Source organism: Homo sapiens, chromosome 15, assembly GCF_000001405.40.
Source record: "Homo sapiens chromosome 15, GRCh38.p14 Primary Assembly".
NCBI lineage: Eukaryota > Metazoa > Chordata > Mammalia > Primates > Hominidae > Homo > Homo sapiens.
The window spans coordinates 71,032,515-71,054,997 of NC_000015.10; the positions used below are offsets into that span (position 1 = coordinate 71,032,515).

The 22,483-nt window shown below is 37.5% G+C and overlaps 1 protein-coding gene across 5 annotated transcripts in view; it reads left to right on the top strand.

Moving 5' to 3' along the window:
• The window catches only part of LRRC49 (leucine rich repeat containing 49), a 200,281-nt gene extending 179,137 nt beyond the window's left edge, over positions 1-21,144 (top strand). For all 5 annotated transcript variants that reach the window (NM_001284357.2, NM_001199017.3, NM_001363732.2 and 2 more), the window contains 2 exons: positions 4,665-4,818; positions 16,895-21,144. In NM_001284357.2, the coding sequence (NP_001271286.1) occupies positions 4,665-4,818; positions 16,895-17,098 (358 nt within the window). In that variant the 3' untranslated portion in view covers positions 17,099-21,144. The remainder of the gene's footprint in view (positions 1-4,664; positions 4,819-16,894) is intronic.
• Positions 21,145-22,483: the final 1,339 nt, after the last annotated feature.

Below are 22,483 nucleotides of genomic sequence, written 5' to 3' on the forward strand. Positions count from 1 at the left end.
GGCCATTATCATCCTGATACCAAAACCTGGCAGAGGTACAACAAAATAGAAAACTTCAGGCCAATATCCCTGATGATCATTAATACAAAAATCTTCAATCAAATACTGGCAAACCAAATCAAGCATCACATCAAAAAGCTTATTCAACACCATCACTTTGGCCTCATCCCTGGGATGCAAGGTTGGTTCAACATAGGCAAATCAATAAACGTAATTCATCACATAAACAGAACTAAAGACCAAAACCACATGATTATCTCAATAGACGCAGAAAAGGCCATTAATAAAATTTGACATCCCTTCATGTTAAAAACTTTCAATAAACCAGGTATTGATGGAATGTACCTCAAAATAATAGGAGTCATTTATGATAAACCCATAGTCAATATCATACTGAATGGTCAAAAGCTGGAAGTATTCTCCTTGAAAACCAGCAGAAGATAAGGATGCCCTCTCTCACTACTCCTATTCAACATAGTATTGGAAGTTCTGGCCAGGGCAATCAGGCAAGAGAAAGAAATAAAGCGTATTCAAAAAGGAAGAGAAGAAGTCAAACTGTCTCTATTTGCAGATGACATGGTCCTATATCTAGAAAACCCCATTGTCTCAGCCCAAAAGCTGCTTAAGCTGATAAGCAACTTTTCAGCAGTCTCAGGATACAAAATCAATGTGCAAAAATTGCAAGCATTCCTACACACCAATATTAGACGAGCAGAGACCCAAATCATGAATGGACTCCCATTCACAATTGCTACAAAGAGAATAAAATGCCTGGGAATACAGCTAACAAGGGAAGTGAAGGACCTCTTCAAGGAGAACTGCTTGTTCTATTTTCAAGAAGAACTACAAATCACTGCTGAAGGAAATCATAGAGGACACAAACAAATAGAAAAACATTCCATGCTCATGGATAAGAAGAATCAATATCATGAAAATGGCCATACTGCCCAAAGCAATTTACAGATTCAATGCTACTTCCATTAAACTACCATTGACATTCTTCACAGAATTAGAAAAAAACTACTTTAAAATTTATATGGAACCAAAAAAGAGCCCATACAGCCAAGACAATCCTAAGCAAAAGAACAAAGCTGGAGGCATCAAGCTACCTGACTTCAAACTATACTACAAGGCTACAGTAACCAAAACAGCATGGTACTGGTACCAAAACAGACACATACACCAGTGGAACAGAATAGAAATCTCAGAAATAAGACCACACATCTACAACCATCTGATCTTCAACAAACTTGACAAAAACCAGCAATGGGGAAGGGATTCCCTATTTAATAAATAGTACTGGGAAAACTGGCTAGCCATATGCAGAAAATTGAAACTGGACCCCTTCCTTACACCTTACACAAAAATTCTCAAGATAGATTAAAGACTTAAATGTAAAACCCAAAACTATAAAAAGCCTAGAAGAAAATCTAGGCAATACCATTCAGGCATAGGCACAAGCAAAGATTTCATGACGAAAACATCAAAAGTAATTGCCACAAAAGCAAAAATTGACAAAGGGGATCTAAACAAACTAAAGAGCTTCTGCACAGCAAAAGAAACTATCATCAGAGCAAACAAGGCAACCTACAGAATGGGAGAAAATTTTTGCAAGCTACCCATCTGACAAAGGCCTAATATCCAGAATCTACAAGGAACTTAAACAAATTTACAAGAAAAAAACAAACCCCATCAAAAAGTGGGCAAAGGACATGAGCAGACACTTCTCAAAAGAAGAGATTTATGTGGCCAACAAACATATGAAAAAAAGGTCGACATCACTGATTATTAGAGAAATGCAAATCAAACCTCAATGAAATACTATCTCATGCCATTCAGAATGACGATTATTAAAAAATCTAGAAACAACAGATGCTGGAGAGGATGTGGAGAAATAGGAATGCTTTTACACTGTTAGTGGGAATGTAATTTAGTTCAACCATTGTGGAAGACAGTGTGGTGACTCTTCAAAGACCTGGAACCAGAAATACGATTTGACCCAGCAATTCCATTAGTGGGTATATACCCAAAGGAATATAAATCATTCTATTATAACATGTACATGTATGTTTATTGCAGGACTATTCACAATAACAAAGACATGGAATCAACCCAAATGCCCATCAGTGATAGACTGGATAAAGAAATTGTGGTATGGATATGCCATGGAATATGCCATGGAATACTATGCAATCATAAAAAGAAATGAGGTCATGTCCCTTGCAAGGACATGGATGATCGAGATGGAAGCCATTAGCCTCAGCGGACTAACACAGGAACAGACAACCAAACACCACATGTTCTCACTTATAAGTGGGAGCTGAACAATGAGAACATATGGTCACAGGGAGGGGAACAATACACGCTGGGGCCTACCAGAGGGCAGGAGGAGGGAGAGCATCAGGATAAATAGCTAATGCATGTGGGACTTAATACCTAGTGATGGGTTGATAGGTGCAGCAAACCACCATGATAAATGTTTCACTGTGTAACAAAGCTGCACATCCTGCACAGGTATCCTGGAACTTAAAATAAATAGAAGAAAAGATCTATATGTTACTCATTTTTTTCTTTACAAAGGTGAGAAAATTATACTATGTAACTATCCTATAAGAGGAACCAATTAAGTAAATTGTGATATATATCACAATTGATTTTTATTCAGGTATTAAAATTATAATTTTTAATGATACAGAAAATACTTATATAGCATTAAGTGAAAACAGTATACAAAGTTGTATGTTTAGTATAATCTTAATTTTTTACAAAAATTTATAGAAGAAGTTTGCAACGAAATATGTCAAATGTGAACATTATTATTGTTTTTTTTAAAGATTTATTTTTTTTTATACTTTAAGTTCTGGGGTACATGTGCAGAATGTGCAGTTTTGTTACATAGGTATACACGTGCCATGGTGGTTTGCTCCACCCATCAACCTGTCACCTACATTAGGTATTTCTCCTAATGGTATCCCTGCCCTAGCCCTCCACCCCCTGACAGGCCCTGGTGTGTGATGTTCCCCTCCCTATGTCCATGTGTTCTCATTGTTCAACTCCCACTTGTGAGTGATAATGTGCGGTGTTTGGTTTTCTGTTCTTGTGATAGTTTGCTGAGAATGATGGTTTCCAGCTTCATTCATGTCCCTGCAAAGGACATGAATTCATCCTTTTTATGGCTGCATAGTATTCCATGGTATATATATATTCCACATTTTCTTTATCCAGTCTATCACTGATGGGCATTTGGGTTGATTCCATGTCTTTGTTATTGTGAATAGCCCTGCAATAAACATACATGTATATGTTATAATAGAATGACTTATATTCTTTTGGGTATATACCCACTAATGGAATTGCTGGGTCAAATCGTATTTCTGGTTCCAGGCCTTCAAAGAATCATCACACTGTCTTCCACAATGGTTGAACTAATTTACACTCCCACCAACAGTGTAAAAGAACTCCTATTCCTCCACATCCTCTCCAGCATCTGTTGTTTCCTGACTTTTTAATGATCGCCATCCTAACTGGTGTGAGATGGTATCTCATTGTGGTTTTGATTTGCATTTCTCTAATGACCAGTGATGATGAGCATTTTTTCATATGTCTGTTGGCTGCATAAATGTCTTCTTTTAAGAAGTGTTTGTTATATCCTTTGCCCACTTTTTGATGGGGTTGTTTGTTTTTTTCTTGTAAATTTGTTTAAGTTCTTTGTAGATTCTAGATAAGCCCTTTGTCAGATGGATAGATAGCAAAAATGTTCTCCCATTCTGTAGGTCACCTTTTCAAATATGAACATTATTAATTTATGAAAACTTATGGGTGGTTTTTATCCATTTCTTTATACTTTTCAAATTTGCACTTCCTAAAAATCTCTAAAATTATTGTGTTATACTTTTAGATCAGAGAAAAATAAATGTTTAAAAAAGTTATATTCCTCTTCTGCCCTCAATCTTCAGTACACAGTTCACAGTAAGGTAGTAGTATCATTTTGAGACACCCTAAGTGGTGGAAACCAAAAATCCACCTTCATGGAGGACGAATCATGGCTGATGGCTCTGTAAGTGATACTATGAGCACTATGTATGTTCCTCTTCACAATCAAATGAGGCTTCTTGTTTCAATATTTAACCCCTACTAGAATCTTGCCATGATATGCTCACAATTGGAGGTTTTTGGTTTTTGGGTTATTTTGGTTTTGCCTAAACTTAAGCCAAGATCCAATTCCATTTTCTAGCTATCAGTAATATTGCCAAGCTGCATAATGGAATTATTAACCATTTGTGTGATTTATAAGTGGTAATTAGCATGTTTTATGGGACATGAAGACTTTGAAAGTTTGACCTACTATATCTTTTTGGGTTGTTTTGTGCTCTGTGATTAATTTTTGTGTTGATTTTTATTAAAGGAGAGTTTTTTCATTTTAGAAATGTTTGAGACGTATTTTCATTGATGATTAGTAGTTATGGAAAAAATAATTGGGGCTGAATAGCTTAATTAGTAGAAAGTTTGGGGTACCAGACTGAACTCAAATAAATCATAAACTCAAACTCATTAAAATATATATTCAAAAAAGTATATGTTCTCCTCTAAAGTCAACAAAAAATAGACATGTTTTAGTAAGTCTGATAAGTAACTCTCTAAATCTCTTTACTGTCTTTCTACAGGAAAAAGCAATTTCGGTATCTACTAGAATCCAAAGGAAAAAAACCTGGTATTATCAACGAAGAAAATAATGACAGCAAAAGACTTGTAGGAGAAAACACAAATCGTGCTACATTAAATTATACTACAAGAGACTTTTATAATGAAAAGCTAGAGGTAAAACTACTGTTAATCTTTGCGATCTAATGCCAGGATATATCCCACATGGCTTGGAATTTGGGGGTTGTACATTTTACCCTTAGTTAAGATAACTTTTTTGTTCTGGAATATTTGTCAACCTTATATTACAAAGCCAGGGACAGTAGGTACCCAGGCAATTAGGGAGAAATAGAGCCCTGAGATGCAGAAGAACCCAGGGTTTCAGTATCGTTATTTCAGCAGAAAAAAAAAATGCTCAAAAGAAATCTGTACCATAAATCTGTAGCAAAAATCTAGTCCAAAGCAGGACCAAGGGTCCCGATCTATGTAAGAAATAGGTTATAGGCTTGCTGTAGGTACTTAGCCACATCATGCCAGACCATCAGAGAACACAGCAGGACCTCCGTTTTTGTTCTCCTTACTGGGACCATTGATGTTTTAATTCATACCTTTCATTCTACACCATTTTTTTTATGATTACTTAATCATATAATTTCAACTTGTTCTATTCCTAATATAGCTACTTAGCCAGGAAAATGGTAACTAAACCTTTATGTTTTATGTGGTCAGAGGTTCAGAGTGTTTTGTATAGGGGAATACAATGTTGTGGTGCTGCAGGAACTACAAAGAAGAAAACTATGTAGTATTTACCTTGATGGAGCTCATAGGAAAGCTGAAGAAACAACTTATCTACATAACAATACAACGTTGTGACCCTTCAAGAGATTTTGAGGGAACAAAGGGGCAAAAGAACAAGAAAGAGAAAACACATTTACTGAGCATCTATGACTCATGTGCAAGGTGCTGTATGAGGTGATACATCTATATCCAGATATAAGTATATCTATAGATCCCCTCACACAGGTTATACGATTGATATATAATAGATATCTTTCAATATCTACATATGTATCTCTAGATATATAGATATAACATTTAGAAGTGTGTGTGTGGCAGGGCGAAGTGTGTATACTGTAGATGTGAAATGGCTAGTCAAGTGGTTTTCAAATGTTTTTAACAGTTTTGGACCTCTTTATTCAAACCACCGTATTATAGCTGAAAACCCAGTGTATCAGAAGAAAGCAAAACAGCAGAGCTGCTGTTGTTATAGAGGAAAAGTAGGAAATTCAGAGTTTCATTTGATTGGGTCTTCTTTTCCTTTTCCTTTCCTTTCCTTCCCCACCCCCAATCCTGAAGTGTCTCTTTGGAACCCATAGGGCTGTAGGCATTACAGCTTGAAAATTACTTGAAAACTCAATGCAAGACTATTTTTAATAGTATCCTACAAGATGTTCTACTTTAAGTTCTTCTAGTGTGAAAGGTCAATGTTTCATGACATTGTTGTCTATCACAGAACAACTCTAAACGTGAAGAAATTCTTACTGATATTAAGCTTAAATCTGCCTCTTAATAACCTTCACTTAGTGATCCTAGTACCACCTTACATAGTAAAAAGAACAAGTCTGTTCCTTATGAAAATGCTTCAAATACTTGAAGTCAACTACCTTTTTCATCTCAGCACTCTCTACATTCATACTTTCATTCATTCAAAAATCATGTATTGAACACCTGTCATACACAACACACTGTGTAATATACTAGGGCTATAAAAAGACACTGTCCTTGCCCTCATGGATCTCACATTCTAATGGAGGAGATAGACATATATACGGATAAGTATCAATCAGTTTATCAAGAGCATAGAGAGATAACTAACCCAGATCAAAGTAGGGTTTTAGAAAAAATGATGGCCGATATGAGTCTTAAAAGATAAAATATAGCTATATTAAAAAGGGGAAAGAGGCAGTTCTGGCAAATAGCACAGTGCAAATAAGGCATAGAAGTATAAAACATGTAAGGAGAGGGCCAGGAACTATAAGCAGGTCATTGTTGTGGAAGTTCAGAGATTGAGGTAGACAGTATTAAAAGATGAGACCAGAAAGATAGTAAGAGAACAATGTGAAAGAGATTGAACATAATCCTTTGGCCAATAGGGGTTTCCTAGTGTTGCCAAAAGAAGAAAATGAAAGCCAAGGTGGCAGGATTATGTCTCCTCTTCCTGAATACAGCTGGTTCTATGAGTGAAAAAATTAATATGTATATAGTTGTGTTTGGTTTCTATGGACGATTGGTTTCAGGACCTCCTGCAGATACCAAAATGCACAGATGCTCAAGTCCCTGATAAAAAATGATGTAGTAACGTAGTATTTGCATGTAGCCTATGCACATCCTCCCATATACTTTAAATCATTTCTAGATTACTTATAATACTACAATGCAAATGCCATGTAAATAGTTGTTATACTGTATTGTTTAGGGAATAATGACAAGAAAAGTCTGTACAGATGTGTTTTAAAAAAATGTTTTCAATCTGCAGTTGGTTGAATTCACAGATGCAGAATCCACGGATATGGAGGGCCAACTGTATTTAGTAAATCTAAACATGCCAATTTACATTAAAGAAATTTAGTAAAATATCGAAAAGCTGCATTCAAACCAAGGATTTCACAGTAAAATCTACCAACTTTTTAAGAAACAGAGAATTCTAATGATTTTAAAATTGTTTGAGAGTATTGAAAAAGAAGGAAAACTCTTCCATGTTTTCAATACAGACAGCATAACATTGATTCCAAAAATGCCAGTATTGCATAGGAAAAGAAAAGCCAAACCATACATTTAAAAATATTGGTGCAAACCCCTTTTAAAAATATTGTCAGCCAGAATACAGCAGAACATTAAATGAATAACAAACATTATAGCCAAGTGTAGTTTATCCTAGAAAGGCAGGGAAGATTCAATATTAGTGAATTAATAGATCTAATGTGAAAAATCATGATTATTTCTATAGACATTGAAAATAAATTTCACACAATTCAATACCTATTCTTAATTTTGTAACTCAATAAATAGGATAAATGGAAATTGCATAGTGTTATGCTTGATGGGGAAACTCTGGAAACATTAGCATTAGTAGTAGGCAGAATTCTAACTAAGGTGGCCTCTGTGATCCCCACACCCCAGTATCCATACCTTATATAATCCCCTCCCATGGGTGTAGGTAAAACCTGTGTCTTGCCTTTAACCAGTGGAATATGGCAAGGGTAAAGGGGTTTTGCAGACATGATTAATATCCCTCATCAGTTGACTTTGAGTTAATGAAGAGAGAGATCATCCTGAGAAAGTCTAACTTAATCTGGCAAGTCCTTTAAAAGAGGATTCAAGCGGCCGGGCGCGGTGGCTCACACCTGTAATCCCAGCACTTTGGGAGGCCAAGGCAGGCGGATCATGAGGTTAGGAGATCGAGACCATCCTGGCTAACACGGTGAAACCCCGTCTCTATTAAAAATGCAAAAAAATTAGCCGGGCGTGGTGGTGGGTGCCTGTAGACCCAGCTACTTGGGAGGCTGAGGCAGGAGAATGGCGTGAACCTGGGAGGTGGAGCTTGCAGTGAGCCGAGATTGCGCCACTGTACTCCAGCCTGGGCAACAAAGCAAGACTCCGTCTCAAAAAAAAAAAAAAAAAAAAGGATTCAAGCTTTCCCTGAAAGATTTTTCTGTTGGTCTTAAAGAAATAAGTCACCATGTTTTGAGAGGCCCACATGGCAGGGAACTGCAAGAAGCTTTTAGGACCTGAGAACAGCCCCAGACCAACAGCCAACAAGAAAACAGGGACTTCATTCCCACAGCTGCAAGGAACTGAATTCTGCCAACAACCACTTAGGCTTAGAAGAGGACTCTGAGCTTCAGAAATAAACACAACCTAGGCAACACCTTCATTTCAGCTTTATGAAGTCCTGAGCAGAACACCCAGCTAAGCCGTGCCTGGGTTCCTGATACATGGAAACTGAGCTAATAGATGCACGTTGTTTTAAGCTGCCAAGTTTGAGGTAATTTGTTAGACAGGACTAGAACACCAGTGCATCACTGAAGTAAGTAACAAGACAAGGATGCCTAATATCACTATTATATTTTTCTCAATACAGATAATGCAATGAAACAAGAGAAGGAAATCAATGGTCATTTGAAAAGAAGGAAGTAAACTTATATTTGCAGATAATATTATTGAATACCTGGAAATCCCAAGAATATTAATTTAGAAATCATAAAAAGCTATAAGAAAATTCAGTAATATAGCAGAAGTCAACAGCTTCCATATTACAGATAACAAGCAGAAAGAAGATATAAGGAAAAACCTAACTCACAGTAGCAACACAGAAAGATAATGTATCTTGTAATAACCTAATAATAAATATGCAGGATCTATAAATAAACTTTTCAAACATTAGTGAAGCATACAAAAGATTTATACAAATGGAAAAACATGCCATGTTTTAGATAAGAAGAATTTCAAGCAAACTTTGTCAATTTTCTTTAACTTAAAAATTTCATATAATCCCAATGAAAATACCAAAAACTTTTTTGTTGAGGCTTTTTGACAAGTTGATACTATAGTACATGTGGAAAAATAAACATAATTAGCTACAAAAACTCCAAAAAAGAACAATGAGAAGAAGGCTAGCACTATTAGATATTAAGGCATATTATAAATACCTATCAATTAAAACAGGGTGGTTGTAAAGAGATAGTCTAATGGGATAAATGATACTGAGGAAATGGGATATTCAATCAGAAAAGCATATTGAACCCCTTCTTTGCACCATGCAACAAAAAATTAACTCCAGACCAAATAAAAACCCAAGTATTAAAAGCAAAAGTTTCAAGTTTTTATTTTAATAAGAAGAGAAAATCTTTATGATCTTGATTGGGTTGGCTATGATTTTTTAACACCATAGATGCACAAACTATAAAGGAAAATGTTTTGGTAAATTGGACAGTCATTCAAGGTGATTGTGTTTTTTGTTTTTGTTTTTTTCTATGTTGCCCAGTCTGTCCCTGAGCTCCTGGGCTCAAGAAATCCTCCTACCTTGTCCTTCCAAGTAGCTGAAACTACAGGCATGCAGATTTTTAAAAACAGATAGCTTCAGTGCAGTCATGTAAGCAGAGTCTTGATTAAAGTGATATGAGCAATAATTAAGCTATAAGAAAGTAAAGACAGGGAATGTTGACTCCTGCTTTGAGAAATTTTAAAGAGGAAAGAAGGAATCTGAAGCCCCAAAATATTTGGAAAGAAACACTAATCTAACAATCAGGAGATGTGGATTTGAGCCCCTGATTCTACTTCTGAGTACTTGAAAGACCTTGCTGAAGTCCCTTAATCACTCTCTCGACTCACAGCCCAGCATTCCTTCACTTATACCATGCTCCTTACATCTTGAAAAATACTTAAATCACTGCAGCACAAAGTGCTCAGTCTCTCTTCCATACATCCTGAGTTGTTGAGAAAATTAATTGAGGTAAGTTCTTCACAAATCAGGTTAAGCAGACCCTTTCATTATACATGTCATAACTCTGTTGCTTGGTAGTTGTCCATCTATTCTCCTGACTCATCTAAAAAAGATTTAAGATGGACATAGAATCAGAGTGCTGAAAGGGACTTTAAAGAATCTAATGCTATTCTTAGATGAGGAAAACTGGAAACTCAGATGAGTTACTGAGGGTCACGTTGAATTATTGACTGAGCCGCCTCTAGAATGGAGTCCTAATTCTGACCTTGGACACGTTCACAGTATATCATGGTGCTCTCTCAAGTTTTCTTGACCACCCTAGTGCAAAGGGCTCTCTCTTTTCTGAACACTGTTTGTAATTTGCTGTCTGAACGTTTTACTCAGCATGTATCTACTGTTTTATGTTTTTAGTTGACTTTTTATATGTGCATGCCATCTCCCAACTAGACTGTAAGTTCTTCAAGGACTAGATTAGAGAGTTTTCTCTATGGAAGTATTAATAGAAGATGCTTAATCCTGAGCAGATCTCTCAATCTCTATAGACCTTGTTTCCCACTTATAAAATGGAGATATGGATTAAATCCTAATACAAGTACCATTATAGTTAAAATTGCTCTATAACAAACCCCACTGTTGACCTTCTTTTTCCCAAACCATCTTCATAACAACAAAATTCTAGTTTAATGAAATAATGTAAACAATATTGTATATAGTTTATCTCATCAGAATTGAACTTGTAAAATACTTGCTTTATGAATCCCACAGGGATATTGTGAGACAAAAAGAGATGAGTATATGAAAGCATTTGGGAATGGAAAAAGCATTACTCAAGGAGCAACAACTCCTTGACAGGTCAGGGCAAGAGAGGTGTCTCTAACGTGCTTTCAATGGGATCATCCTGGACAGGCAGAGTGAGTCATCCTGGCAGACACCTGATGACTTATAGGGCATATTGTAAGGAGATGCAGAATAGTTGGCTTGGAGGAGAGGAGAAATCATGAAGTAGAAATGCTTTCAAACACAGTTACTAAATTAAGGATTATTATAGCAGATACAATTCTATATCAACATGTCCCTAGAGAAACAGTGGAAGTAACTATAGCAGAAAATTTTAAAGCACTGTAAATTATACTGTGCCAGTTATGAAGAATTTATTTTCAATTGTATAATACATAAATGATTTAACAAAATATATCATTTAATTGTTTTAATTTTTGTTATCCCTAAATTATTATAAAAAATCTTCCAATCTTAATAATAGAATTTTGTCTTTTTAAATTCAAAATCCTATTTTAAGCAATTTGGAAATCTGTAAAAGAAGCATTCACTAAATATGCTCTATGCTTTCTACTTGTAAATGCATTGCTTGTAAAATATTGCTCATTTTAGTTGCTGATCTCTAGTGACTCACACTTGTCCTTCTTTGTAGGAGTTCCTATGTAGTCCAGATTTACTGAGTGCGAAAAGGGAGCAGCTACATTCTGTTCTCATCAACAAGCTAACTTAGTATAGGTGGCTAATGTTCAGACTATAGTATTTCAGAGTGAGGGAAGATCTTCAGAGAAGAGGCCAGCTGGAACCATTTGTTGCTTATCACACATCAAAAATCTGTACATACTTTTAAGACTGGTCAATCTATGACCTATTGTTTTAGTACATGACTATATCAAATCAGCATTTTGACCTGTGAATGGTGATTGATTGCTTAGAGATGCCTTATATGTCATAAGAAAATTCTTAAAATATGCCTCTGTTAAGGAAAGTTAGTGCAGGTTGGACTTATTGTTAACTTACATTAATTAATCAGGAATTTAAAACATATTTTATTTTAAACATCATAAGCATTTGGGCCAGGTGTGGTGGCTCATGCCTGTAATCCCAGCTCTTTGGGAGGCTGAGGTGGGTGGATTGCTTGAGTTCAAGAGTTTGAGACCAGCCTAGGCAACATGGCAAAGCCACATCTTTACAAAAAATAAAATTAGCTGGGTGTGGTGGTGCACGCCTGTGGTCACAACTGCTGGAGAAGGTAAGGTGGGAGGGTCGTTTGAGCCTGGGAGGCAGAGGTTGCAGTGAGCGGAGATCATGCCACTGCACTCTAGCCTGGGCAGCAGAGTGAGACCCTGTCTCCAAAAAATAAATTAATTTAAAAAATCATAAGCATTGGGAAACAGAAGAAAATATTAAAAAGGAGGAAAACATACTAATGTTCTCAGAACTCAGAAACAATCTTTTTTTTTTTTTTTTTTTTTTTGAGACGGAGTCTCCCTCTGTCACCCAGGCTGGAGTGCAGTGGTGTGATCTTGGCTCACTGCAAGCTCCGCCTCCCAGGTTCATGCCATTTCCTGCCTCAGCCTCTCGAGTAGCTGGGACTACAGGCGCCCACCACCACACCTGGCTAATTTTTTTTGTGTTTTTTTAGTAGAGACGGGGCTTCACCATGTTAACCAGGATGGTCTCGATCTCCAGACCTCATGATCTGCCCACCTCAGCCTCCCAGAGTGCTGGGATTGTAGGCGTGAGCCAAGAATTCAGAAACAATCTTAATGAGACTTCAATATATTTTCTTCAATAGTTTTTATGCATTCTTTTCTAACTTTTTAATAAAAATTTCAAACATACAGCAAAGTTGAAAGAATTTTACAATAAACATCCATACGTCCAAAACCTACACTCAACTATTAGCATCGTACCATACAGTGTACTTACTTTATCACATATCTATGTGTCTATCCATCCATCAGTCTACCTTCGTATTTTTTAAATTCATCTCACAGTCATTGCAGACATTAGTATGCTTCTGCCTAAATAATTCAGCGTGCATTTCATTAATTGAGATTCAGTATTCTACAGAGTATTTTTCTTTGTAAATTTTTCCATTTAGAGGTAAAACTTATATACTGAAATGTAAATCTTAGGTGTACAATTGCTGAGTTTTGACAATTCATACATTCATATAACCCAAACCCTATCAAAAAAAATTTTATTTTTTTCACATAACATTATGATTTAAGCATTTTTTCTTATTATGAATCTTTATTTTATTTTATTTTTAAATATTTCACCTTTTAGATATGGGGTACAGTGCAGATTTGTTACATGAGAGTATTATGTGATGCTGGGGTTTGGAGTATGGATCCTGTCACTCTAGTAATGAGCACAGTACCAGACAGGTAGTTGTTTAGCCCACACCCCTACCACCCTCTATGTTGTTCCCATATTTATGTTGTTCCCATCTTCCATGTGTGCACAGTGCTTAGCTCCCACTTATAAGTGAGAATATGCAGCATTTGGTTTTCTGTTTCTGCATTAATTTGCTTAAGATTATGGCCTCCAGTTCCATCTATGTTGCTGCAAAGGACAGGATTTCACTCTTTGTTATGGCTATGTAGTTACTATTCCATGGTGTATATATACTATATTTTCTTTATCCAATCTACCATTGATGGGCACCTGGGTTGGTTCTATGTCTTTGCTACTGTGAATAGTGTAGCAATGAACATATGAGCGCATGTGTCTTTTTGGTAGAATGATTTATTTTCTTTGGAGTATATACCCAGGAATGGGATTGTTGGGCCAAATGGTAGCTCTGTTTTAAGTTATTTAAGAAATTGCCAGACTGCTTTCCACAGTGGCTGGACTAATTTAATTATATTCCCACCAGCAGTGTATGAGAGTTCCTTTTTCTCCACAGCCTCGCCAGCATCTGTTGTTTTTTCACTTTTTAGTAATAGCCATTCTAACTGGTGTGAGATGGTATCTCACTGTGGTTTTGATTTGCATTTCTCTGATGATTAGTGATGCTGAGCACTATTTCATATCCTTGTTGGCCACTTGTATGTCTTCCTTTGAGAAGTATCTGTTCATGTCCTTTGCCCATTTTTTACTGGGGTTATTTGGTTTTTGCTTGGTGATTTAAGTTCCCTATAAATTCTGGATATTAAGCCTTTGTCAGATACATAGTTTGCAAATATCTTCTCCAATTCTGTAGGTTGTCTGTTTGCTCTGTTGATAGTTTCTTTTGCTGTGCAAAAGCTCTTTAGTTTAATTAAGTCCCATTTGTCTATTTTTGTTTTTGTTGCAATTGCTTTTGGGGACTTAGCCAAAAATTCTTTGCCAAGGCCAATATCAAGAAGAGTCTTCCAGAATTTTTATAGTTTGAGGTCTTACCTTTAAATTATTAATCCCTTTTGAGTTAATGTTTGTATATGGTGAAAGATAAGAAAGGTCCAGCTTCAATCTTCTGCATATGGCTAGCCAGTTATCTCAGCACCGTTTATAGAATAGGGAGTCCTTTCCCCATTGCTTGTTTTTGTCAGCCCTGTTGAAGATCAGATGGTTTTCGGTGTGCAGCTTTATTTCTGAGTTTTCTATTCTGTTCCATTGGTCGATGTATCTGTTTTTTACCAGTACCAAACTGTTTTGGTTACTGTGGCTTTATAGTATAGTTTGAAGTCAGATAGCATAATGCCTCTGGCTTTGTTCTTTTTGCTTAGGATTGCTTTGGCTATTCGGGCTCTTTTTTGGTTCCATATGAATTTTAGAATTTTTTTTCTAATTCTGTGAAGAGTGACATTGGGAATTTGATATGAATAGCATTGAACTGTAAATTACTTTGGGCAATATGGCCATTTTTATGATATTGATTCTTCCAATCCATCAGCAGGGAATGTTTTTCCATTTATTTGTGTCATCTCTGATTTCTTTCAGCAGTATTTTGTAGTTCTCCTTGTAGAGGTCTTTCACCTTCTTAGCTGTATTCCTACGTATTTCATTTTCTTTGTGGCTATTGTAAGTGGGATTGTGTTCTTGATTTCACTGTCAGCCTGGATGTTGTTGGTGTATAGAAACGCTACTGAATTGTGTACATTGATTTTATATCCTGAAGTTTTACTAAAATTGTTTCAATTTGAGAGCCTTTTGGCAGAGTCTTTAGGATTTTCTAGGTATAGAAATCATATTGTCAGCAAAGAGAGATAGTTTGACTTCTTTTCCTATTTAGATGCTTTTTAATTTCTTTCTCTTGCCTGACCGTTCTGGCTAGGACTTCCTAGAAATCTTCGTAGGTATAATTTTAATGACACTATCTGTGATTTTTAGGATTTCATTTGTTTGTTTGTTTGTTTTGTTTTGTTTTTTGAGACAGAGTCTTGCTCTGTCGCCCAGGCTGGAGTGCAGTGGCACGACCTCAGCTCACTGCAACCTCCACCTCCTGGGTTCAAGCAATTCTCCTGCCTCAGCCTCCCGTGTAGCTGGGACTACAGGCATGTGCCACAACCCTGGCTAATTTTTATATTTTTAGTAGAGATGGGGTTTCACCATGCTGGCCAGGCTAGTCTCGAACTCCTGACCGCAAGTGATCCACCCACCTTGGCCTCCCAAAGTGCTGGGATTACAGGTGTGAGCCACTGCACCGGGCCAAATTTTTTTTTTTTTTTTTTTTTTTTAGAAACAAGGTCTCACTCTGTTACTCAGGCTGGAGTGCAATGGCATGATCATAGCTTAAACTGTAGCCTTGAACTCCTGGGCTCAAACGATTCTCCCACCTCAGCCTCCCAAGTACCTGGAACTACAGGCATGTGCTATTACACCTGGCTAAATTTTTTATTCTTGTTTTTCTGTAGAGATGGGGTCTCGCTATGTTGCCCAGGCTGGTCTTGAGTTCTTGGCCTTAAGCGATCCTCCTGCCTTGGCCTCCCAAAGTGCTGGGATTACAGATGTGAGCTACCATGCCTGGCTTATGATATTTTAAATTTAGCTCATTTAATTTATCTTGAAATTATTTTGGTGTTTTGACTTGAGTTGGAGATTTAAATGGATCCTTTTTCTAGTAGTTAAATGTATTGTCTCATTGACATTTATTACTTTCCTTCTTCATTGATGTGCATTACTTCCCTTGTAATTCTGATTATCTGATGTGTTACATTGATTCTTCCATGTATATTATACATTCCATGATTATGCCTTGATACTATTCAGAAGTATCAATAGCCAAAATAAATGTTAAATTCTTGATTAAACAAAATCACTTTGTTTTAGTCTCTGTGATGAAATTGGGGCACAATATTCAAATATCCTCAGCTCCAAAATTCCTCTGTTGTGTTTAGGACCAGGTTTTTCATTTTCACACTGCCAGACCCAGAAGTTGAGTGGGAGACCTGTTTCTTTAGAAGGCAACGTCCTGGGTCCCAGGTTTCTATATGTTTACTCTTCCTAATTGTACACTTCCCCCCAACTTTCTCCAAATGGTCAAGGCTGCGTAAGTCAGTGTAGTGTACCATTTTATGCTTTCCCATAATAGAGGGTAAATTCAGAGTATACATACTTAAAGTATTACATAGATATTAACTAATATCATACCAATTGAAATTGTCACTATCTGTATCCTGATACATTTACCACAGGAATCTGTGAGTCTGCATTCAGCTGACTTGTGTGAGCTAAATGACCTGAACTGAGATAGGAGAAATAGTAGTTATGATTCAACAATTCCAGTAAAGAAACACATTTTCTAGCAGAGCTGTCCAACAGAGGTAGGAGTAGACTGAGAAGTACTGAGACCCTTGTTGTTATCTTTACTCAAGCAGAACTCTGTCAGCAGTGACTAGGAAAGAATTCCTGCTCTGAGGAGTAGATGGGGGAGGAATAGGGGGTCAGAATAAATTATTTCAATTTTCTGTGGTTCAGCTAATTGTTGCTTTGACTTTTGGATTAGTTATGATTTAATACAAAACTTTCTCTTTTTTTTAACAGGAAATAAAGGAAAAGAAGAAATTCTGTAAAACATATATAGAAGACCTTGTGAAGGAAGCCACAGAAATCAACATGAAAAATGAGGCTTTGCAGAAGCTTTGGCCACAGATGTTCATTGAGCTTGTTAGGGATGCAGTCATAGAAATTCGCAATAAAAATTCCTATATGAAGCTCTGCCTACAGCAGATAACAGACCAAAAATAAAAATGGCCTTTAGTTACAGTTGATTTTGGCAGTTTTATTTTTTGAAGGTTGAAAATATGCAGGTTATACATGTTAAAACAACAACAACACTATCCTATAAACTAGAAAGACTAGTATAAAAGCATTATTGCCCACTGTTCTCATAGCTAAAAGTTAAGAAGGAAGGAAGGAAAGCAGGAGAAAGGAAGGATTAATTGCCTGTATGTGAGGACCAAACAACCTTTGGGAACTAAACAGTTTTCAGAGATGGCGTGGCACTGCATCCTTGGTTCTTGCTTTGATTGGTGCCCTGCTATAGCCCAAAGCACGTAGTATTTGCTGATGATTCAGCATGAGCTGCATCTACCTACTTTTAGCTGATAATTTTCAGTTATTTCCCTTTTTATTTTATGTCATGATTTCAAAGCCAAAAATATGTTCTTTTTATGAGTGAAGAATAAACTTACTAACAAATTAGTCAAAATAAAGTATGTTTGCCTCCTTAATTCAGTCAGAATTGTCATATTTATTGTATGTTCCTCTTTAGTTAGGTACGGTTCCTGCTATTCACCTATATGGAGGATGCCCCATTCTTCTAGGAATGCATTCTCAGGGAACCACAGGAGGTCCTGGGAATCACTATGGGCAGAGAATATGCAAATGAGTCAAAACTGGGATAGGAAGAAAATGTTTTGTCTTAGGAGATCCTGAATGACTATAAAATGCTGTTACAAAGCAGTAAATCTGCTTCTCTGAAAGATGTTTCCTTCCATTGTTAGCTCTCAAATGCTCTTTTAATAGACATGCATGTGTACCTGTGTCTCAGAAGTATTAGGGATGCATGAGTGAAGGGTTCTAATTTTTAAAATTTCATTTGAAGATCAAATTCATGCTGGTGAGAAGGGTAGTAGGAGCCTATTACCATAGCTAGAGATGATGCCACTTCAGAAAAACAATCTTAGTCAATAAATAGGAATTTTTCGGTTTGCTTAGATTTTACCTAGCAGCTATTATGTCAGCAGGACCACCAGGATATGGGAAAACAGGACTAGAAGATGTACGACAGCAAAGACATGCAGAGACATGCAGAGACACCTGGAAGGAAGCTAGGTAAGCTGCTATTGCGGTTCTGAGAAAGACCCACATCCTTAAGATCTCTTGATTACTCTTCTCCCAAAAGGCGTGCTTAACTTTAACAGGTTACCATTTTTCTGATCATAGCCTTAAAAGGCTGTCCTGGTTTTTTCTTTTTCTTTTTTTTTTTTTGAGACAGAGTCTTGCTCTGTCACCCAGGCTGGAGTGCAGTGGCGCGATCTCGGCTCACTGCAAGCTCCGCTTCCCAGGTTCACGCCATTCTCCTGCCTCAGCCTCCCAAGTAGCTGGGTCTACAGGTGCCCGCCACCATGCCCAGCTAAGTTTTTGTATTTTTAGTAGAGACGGGGTTTCACCATGTTAGCCAGGATGGTCTCGATCTCCTGACCTCATGATCCGCCTGCCTCGGCCTCCCAAAGTGCTGGGATTACAGGTGTGAGCCACCATGCCTGTCCTGTCCTGGTTTTTTCATCTTGGCACTTAGGCCATCAGCTTACTAGTGTGTAACCTCAGTTTCCTCCTGATAGCACACACTTCGTAAGATAGTCATGAGAATCAAAAGAAACAATGCATGTAAAGCATTTCTCATCATGCCTGGCACACAGCAAACACCCAATACGTTGAGCTTTAATTATTACTCTTTTGGCTGTAGGTTGAACAATAGGGTTGGTGCCCTAGGACAGAGGAGCTATTAGCATTGCTTTCTGATCCTTTAGCCTCTCCAAACTGAAACATATGGACCATTTCTCATCTGGCTAGTAAACACTTATCTCTCCTGGGCTTATATCTTGTTTGGTATAGAAATGAGATCCCAGCTTGAAGGTGATGTTGAGAGGAGAACCAAGAGTATATTGTCTGTGGGATTCTGGCAGATTGGAAAGATGTAAGAACTTGTGACTCTTTGGGAGTCTGGGTAACTGTTCCCACTCTAGGCTTTGCAGATGAATGGACCTAGCTGTTTAGTAATCTGTCCAGCTTCCTGCATGTCTGTTCTCCCCTAACCCTCCCATCCCTGCTGCTAAAGAGACTTGACACTCACATGCTTTCTTGGCCCAGTCACCCTGGGAATCTTAGGAACACTAAGTCAGCACTCAATGAAATGGCAGCAAGCCATCCCAGCCACTGCTGGCTCTATGCAGACCTGCTTCAGGCCTGGTAATAGGGTCTCTCTCTTGTTCCTGAAACCAAGCCTCTTTATTCCTCAGCTTTGGTCTCTGCTTCCTTCCTACCTGAGTTCCCTTTCGCTCCTACCTGCTCCCACTACCCCATACTGATTTCTACTTCTTGAATCCTTACTTTGTCGGGTCTCAAACGTCGAATGGCGATCCTCCCATCTAGTTCTACACTCCAAACTCATTTTGCGTTCTGAAGTTCCTTGGTGAAGATAATCCCCAGATAAAAAGACAAGGAGACCTGGGTCTGCTGGGTTAGGGATCAAGTGAGGGTCCTATGTTGTAAGTGAGTGGTGATCTAGGGAACAAATTGCCATTTCTTCTTGGAATTTTCCAGGGTTTTCAGGGAAGGGGAAGAGATGCAAATCCCATAGTCTGAGACTCTCTAGGCTAGTGTGTGCTGAAGAATTGCTTTTTTTCAAAAGGGATCTCACGCAGAAACACTATTGCATTTGCCTCAAAAGCAGAAACATTTAGTACCCCCATTTAGGGAGATACTGTACCCGATGTTCTGGTACAGCAGCTGGATGGTGAAGTGTGCTGCTACACCTGAGGATGGTTACCAAGTGTGCAGGTGGACCTGAGGCTTGTTAACTGTGCTGCTGAGTCAGAGGATGGTGCTGGTATCAGCTCCTCACTTCCTGAGCTTCATTCCACTGAAGGCCTGGCATGTAAGACAGTGCAACCCTACCATGCTCCTGATCTATTCCTGATTGGGCAAGGAATGCACTGGGATTCATATTCTCTTCAATGAGTAATCATCATAACAACAAAGATTCATTGAGCAATGTCTTGCACTATTATAAGCTCTTTGTATACATTCTCATTTAATCTCCTAACACTGCGATATATATATGATAGCAATCCCATTTGAACACTAGAAAACTGAGGCATAGAGAGGATGAAAAAAAACGTAACTAAGGGTATTTCAACCAATAAATAGTAGACAGTACCCACATTCACTGTTAGTCTTAAGGATCTGGCATCTGGGAAGAATTTTGATGTCCATGGTCGTTCCTAATCCACTTTCATGTTTTGTCATTATGCTGAGGAATAGCAAATAAAAGATGAGAATTTCTCAACTGTGTCTACATGTGAAGCATATCGTAGACATTATGTGCGGTATAAATACTAACAAATGTATAAGTACACATGTACAATATTGTGTATTATTTAAGGATATACATATTAAAGTGTAAAATATTGGCAGCTGGATTCATTGCAATAATGTGTAGAGAATCAACTTCAGGAGGGGGCAATAATTAAATTAGGGGGACCAGTTGGGAAGGTACTGCATTATTCTAGGCAAGAGATAATTGTGACTTGGATCAAGGTGATAGCGGCAGAGGCGTCAGAAAGTAGTTGGATCTTGGGTATATTTTAAAGATGAAGCAACAAGATTTACTGACAGAACTGGATATGGAGTATGAGAAACAGTAGTCAATGATGGCCACAAGGTTTTTGGCTTGAACTACCGAAAAGATTGAGTTGCCATCAACTGAGATGAGAGCAATCTGTGAATGGAACATCTGCTGGGAGGAAGGATCAGGAATTCCGTCTTATGGAATACACAATGCATCTCAACATGTACAATATATACAAGATATACCACACATCTCAGCATATGTTGAGATGGTTGTTAAATATCCAAGTGCAGGTGTTAAGTAGGTGTGAATATGAGTTGGGAGTTGAGAAGTATAGATTGGGCTAGAATTATAGAATTTGGAGTCATTGGCGTATAGCAGTACTTGTTTATGCTATCTTTATATTTAAGAGAATAAACCTATCACTTGCTAAATAAGATTATCATAGTGTACTTGCGGTTTTTTTGTTTGTTTGTTTGTTTTTTTGAGACGGAGTCTCACTCTGTCACCCAGGCTGGAGTGCAGTGGCACAATCTCAGCTCACTGCAACCTCTGCTTCCTGGGTTCAAGCAATTCACCTGCCTCAGCCTCCCGAATAGCTGGGACTACAGGGGCCCACCACCACACCCTGCTAATTATTTTCTATTTTTAGTAGAGACAGGGTTTCACCGTGTTAGCCAGGATGGTCTCAATTTCCTGACCTCATGATTCGCCTGCCTCGGCCTCCCAAAGTGCTGGGATTACAGGCATGAGCCACCGCGCCCAGCCTGTACTTGCCTTTTTATTTTGATTGTTATCTGAGTTTTTCCTTCTGTTTTTCTTTGTGATTTTCCTTCTGTTTTTCTCCTATTGTTTTTCTTTGTGATTTCATTTATTGTAATTCAGAATTTACTGCTTATTCAGAAAGCAGTTAATGATTCACCTATATTTTCTCTTGGTTTGATTCCATGATTTTCTATCATTAACAGTTTGTTGACAGACCAAAAAACATCCTATTCATCTCTTTGGGCAAACCTGGGCTTTATTCTCCCATCTCACAGTTTATTTAATAAATTAAAAAAGGAAAGAAAAGAGAAAGAAGGGGGACAGAGAATCTGGCTAGTTAGCCTCAAGGCAAAATGCAAAATAGAATAAAGAGAGACTACTCAGGAAAATATTTTATTTAAATCTTGAAGAACAAAGGTTAGTTTTTATAATCTGCTTTTATGGGTCAGATGGAGATGGAGTGGTTACTGTTGCCAAGAACTTCAGAGCCAAGTTTGAAATTTAATCACAGCAACTGTGTTAACCAGTATTGATGGAATGTTTAGTATATTTGATCCTGATTTTCTACTTATGTTTATGTTTTCATGATTCATTGTATGTGTCTTTTGTTGCAAAATACCTCAAATCCTTTATGGAAAGAGTTAAAGTATATTCAAAGCTCCAAAGAATAAATTACTCCTAAAGAATAAATATACTCCTTGGGGAGTGGAATAGTTTGCAGTTTCTCTTCAGGAGACAATGAAACTATTTATTAATTCCTTTTACAAGTGCCCCTAAGCCTGAGTCCTCAGAGAGTCGACTTCTTCTCTTTGTTTATCTTGAAATGTTTCAGTGTGCAGAAATGCCTGTAGAATCATATCTCAAATAAATGCCCTATATCTACCACCAAGCATAACATCTTAATATTTTTCCACACTCGCTTCAGATTTTATAAATCAAACATTGCAAGTAGACATGGAGCCCCTATGCACCTTCTTTCCCTCCCTCCAGGTAACCACTATCCTGAATTTTAT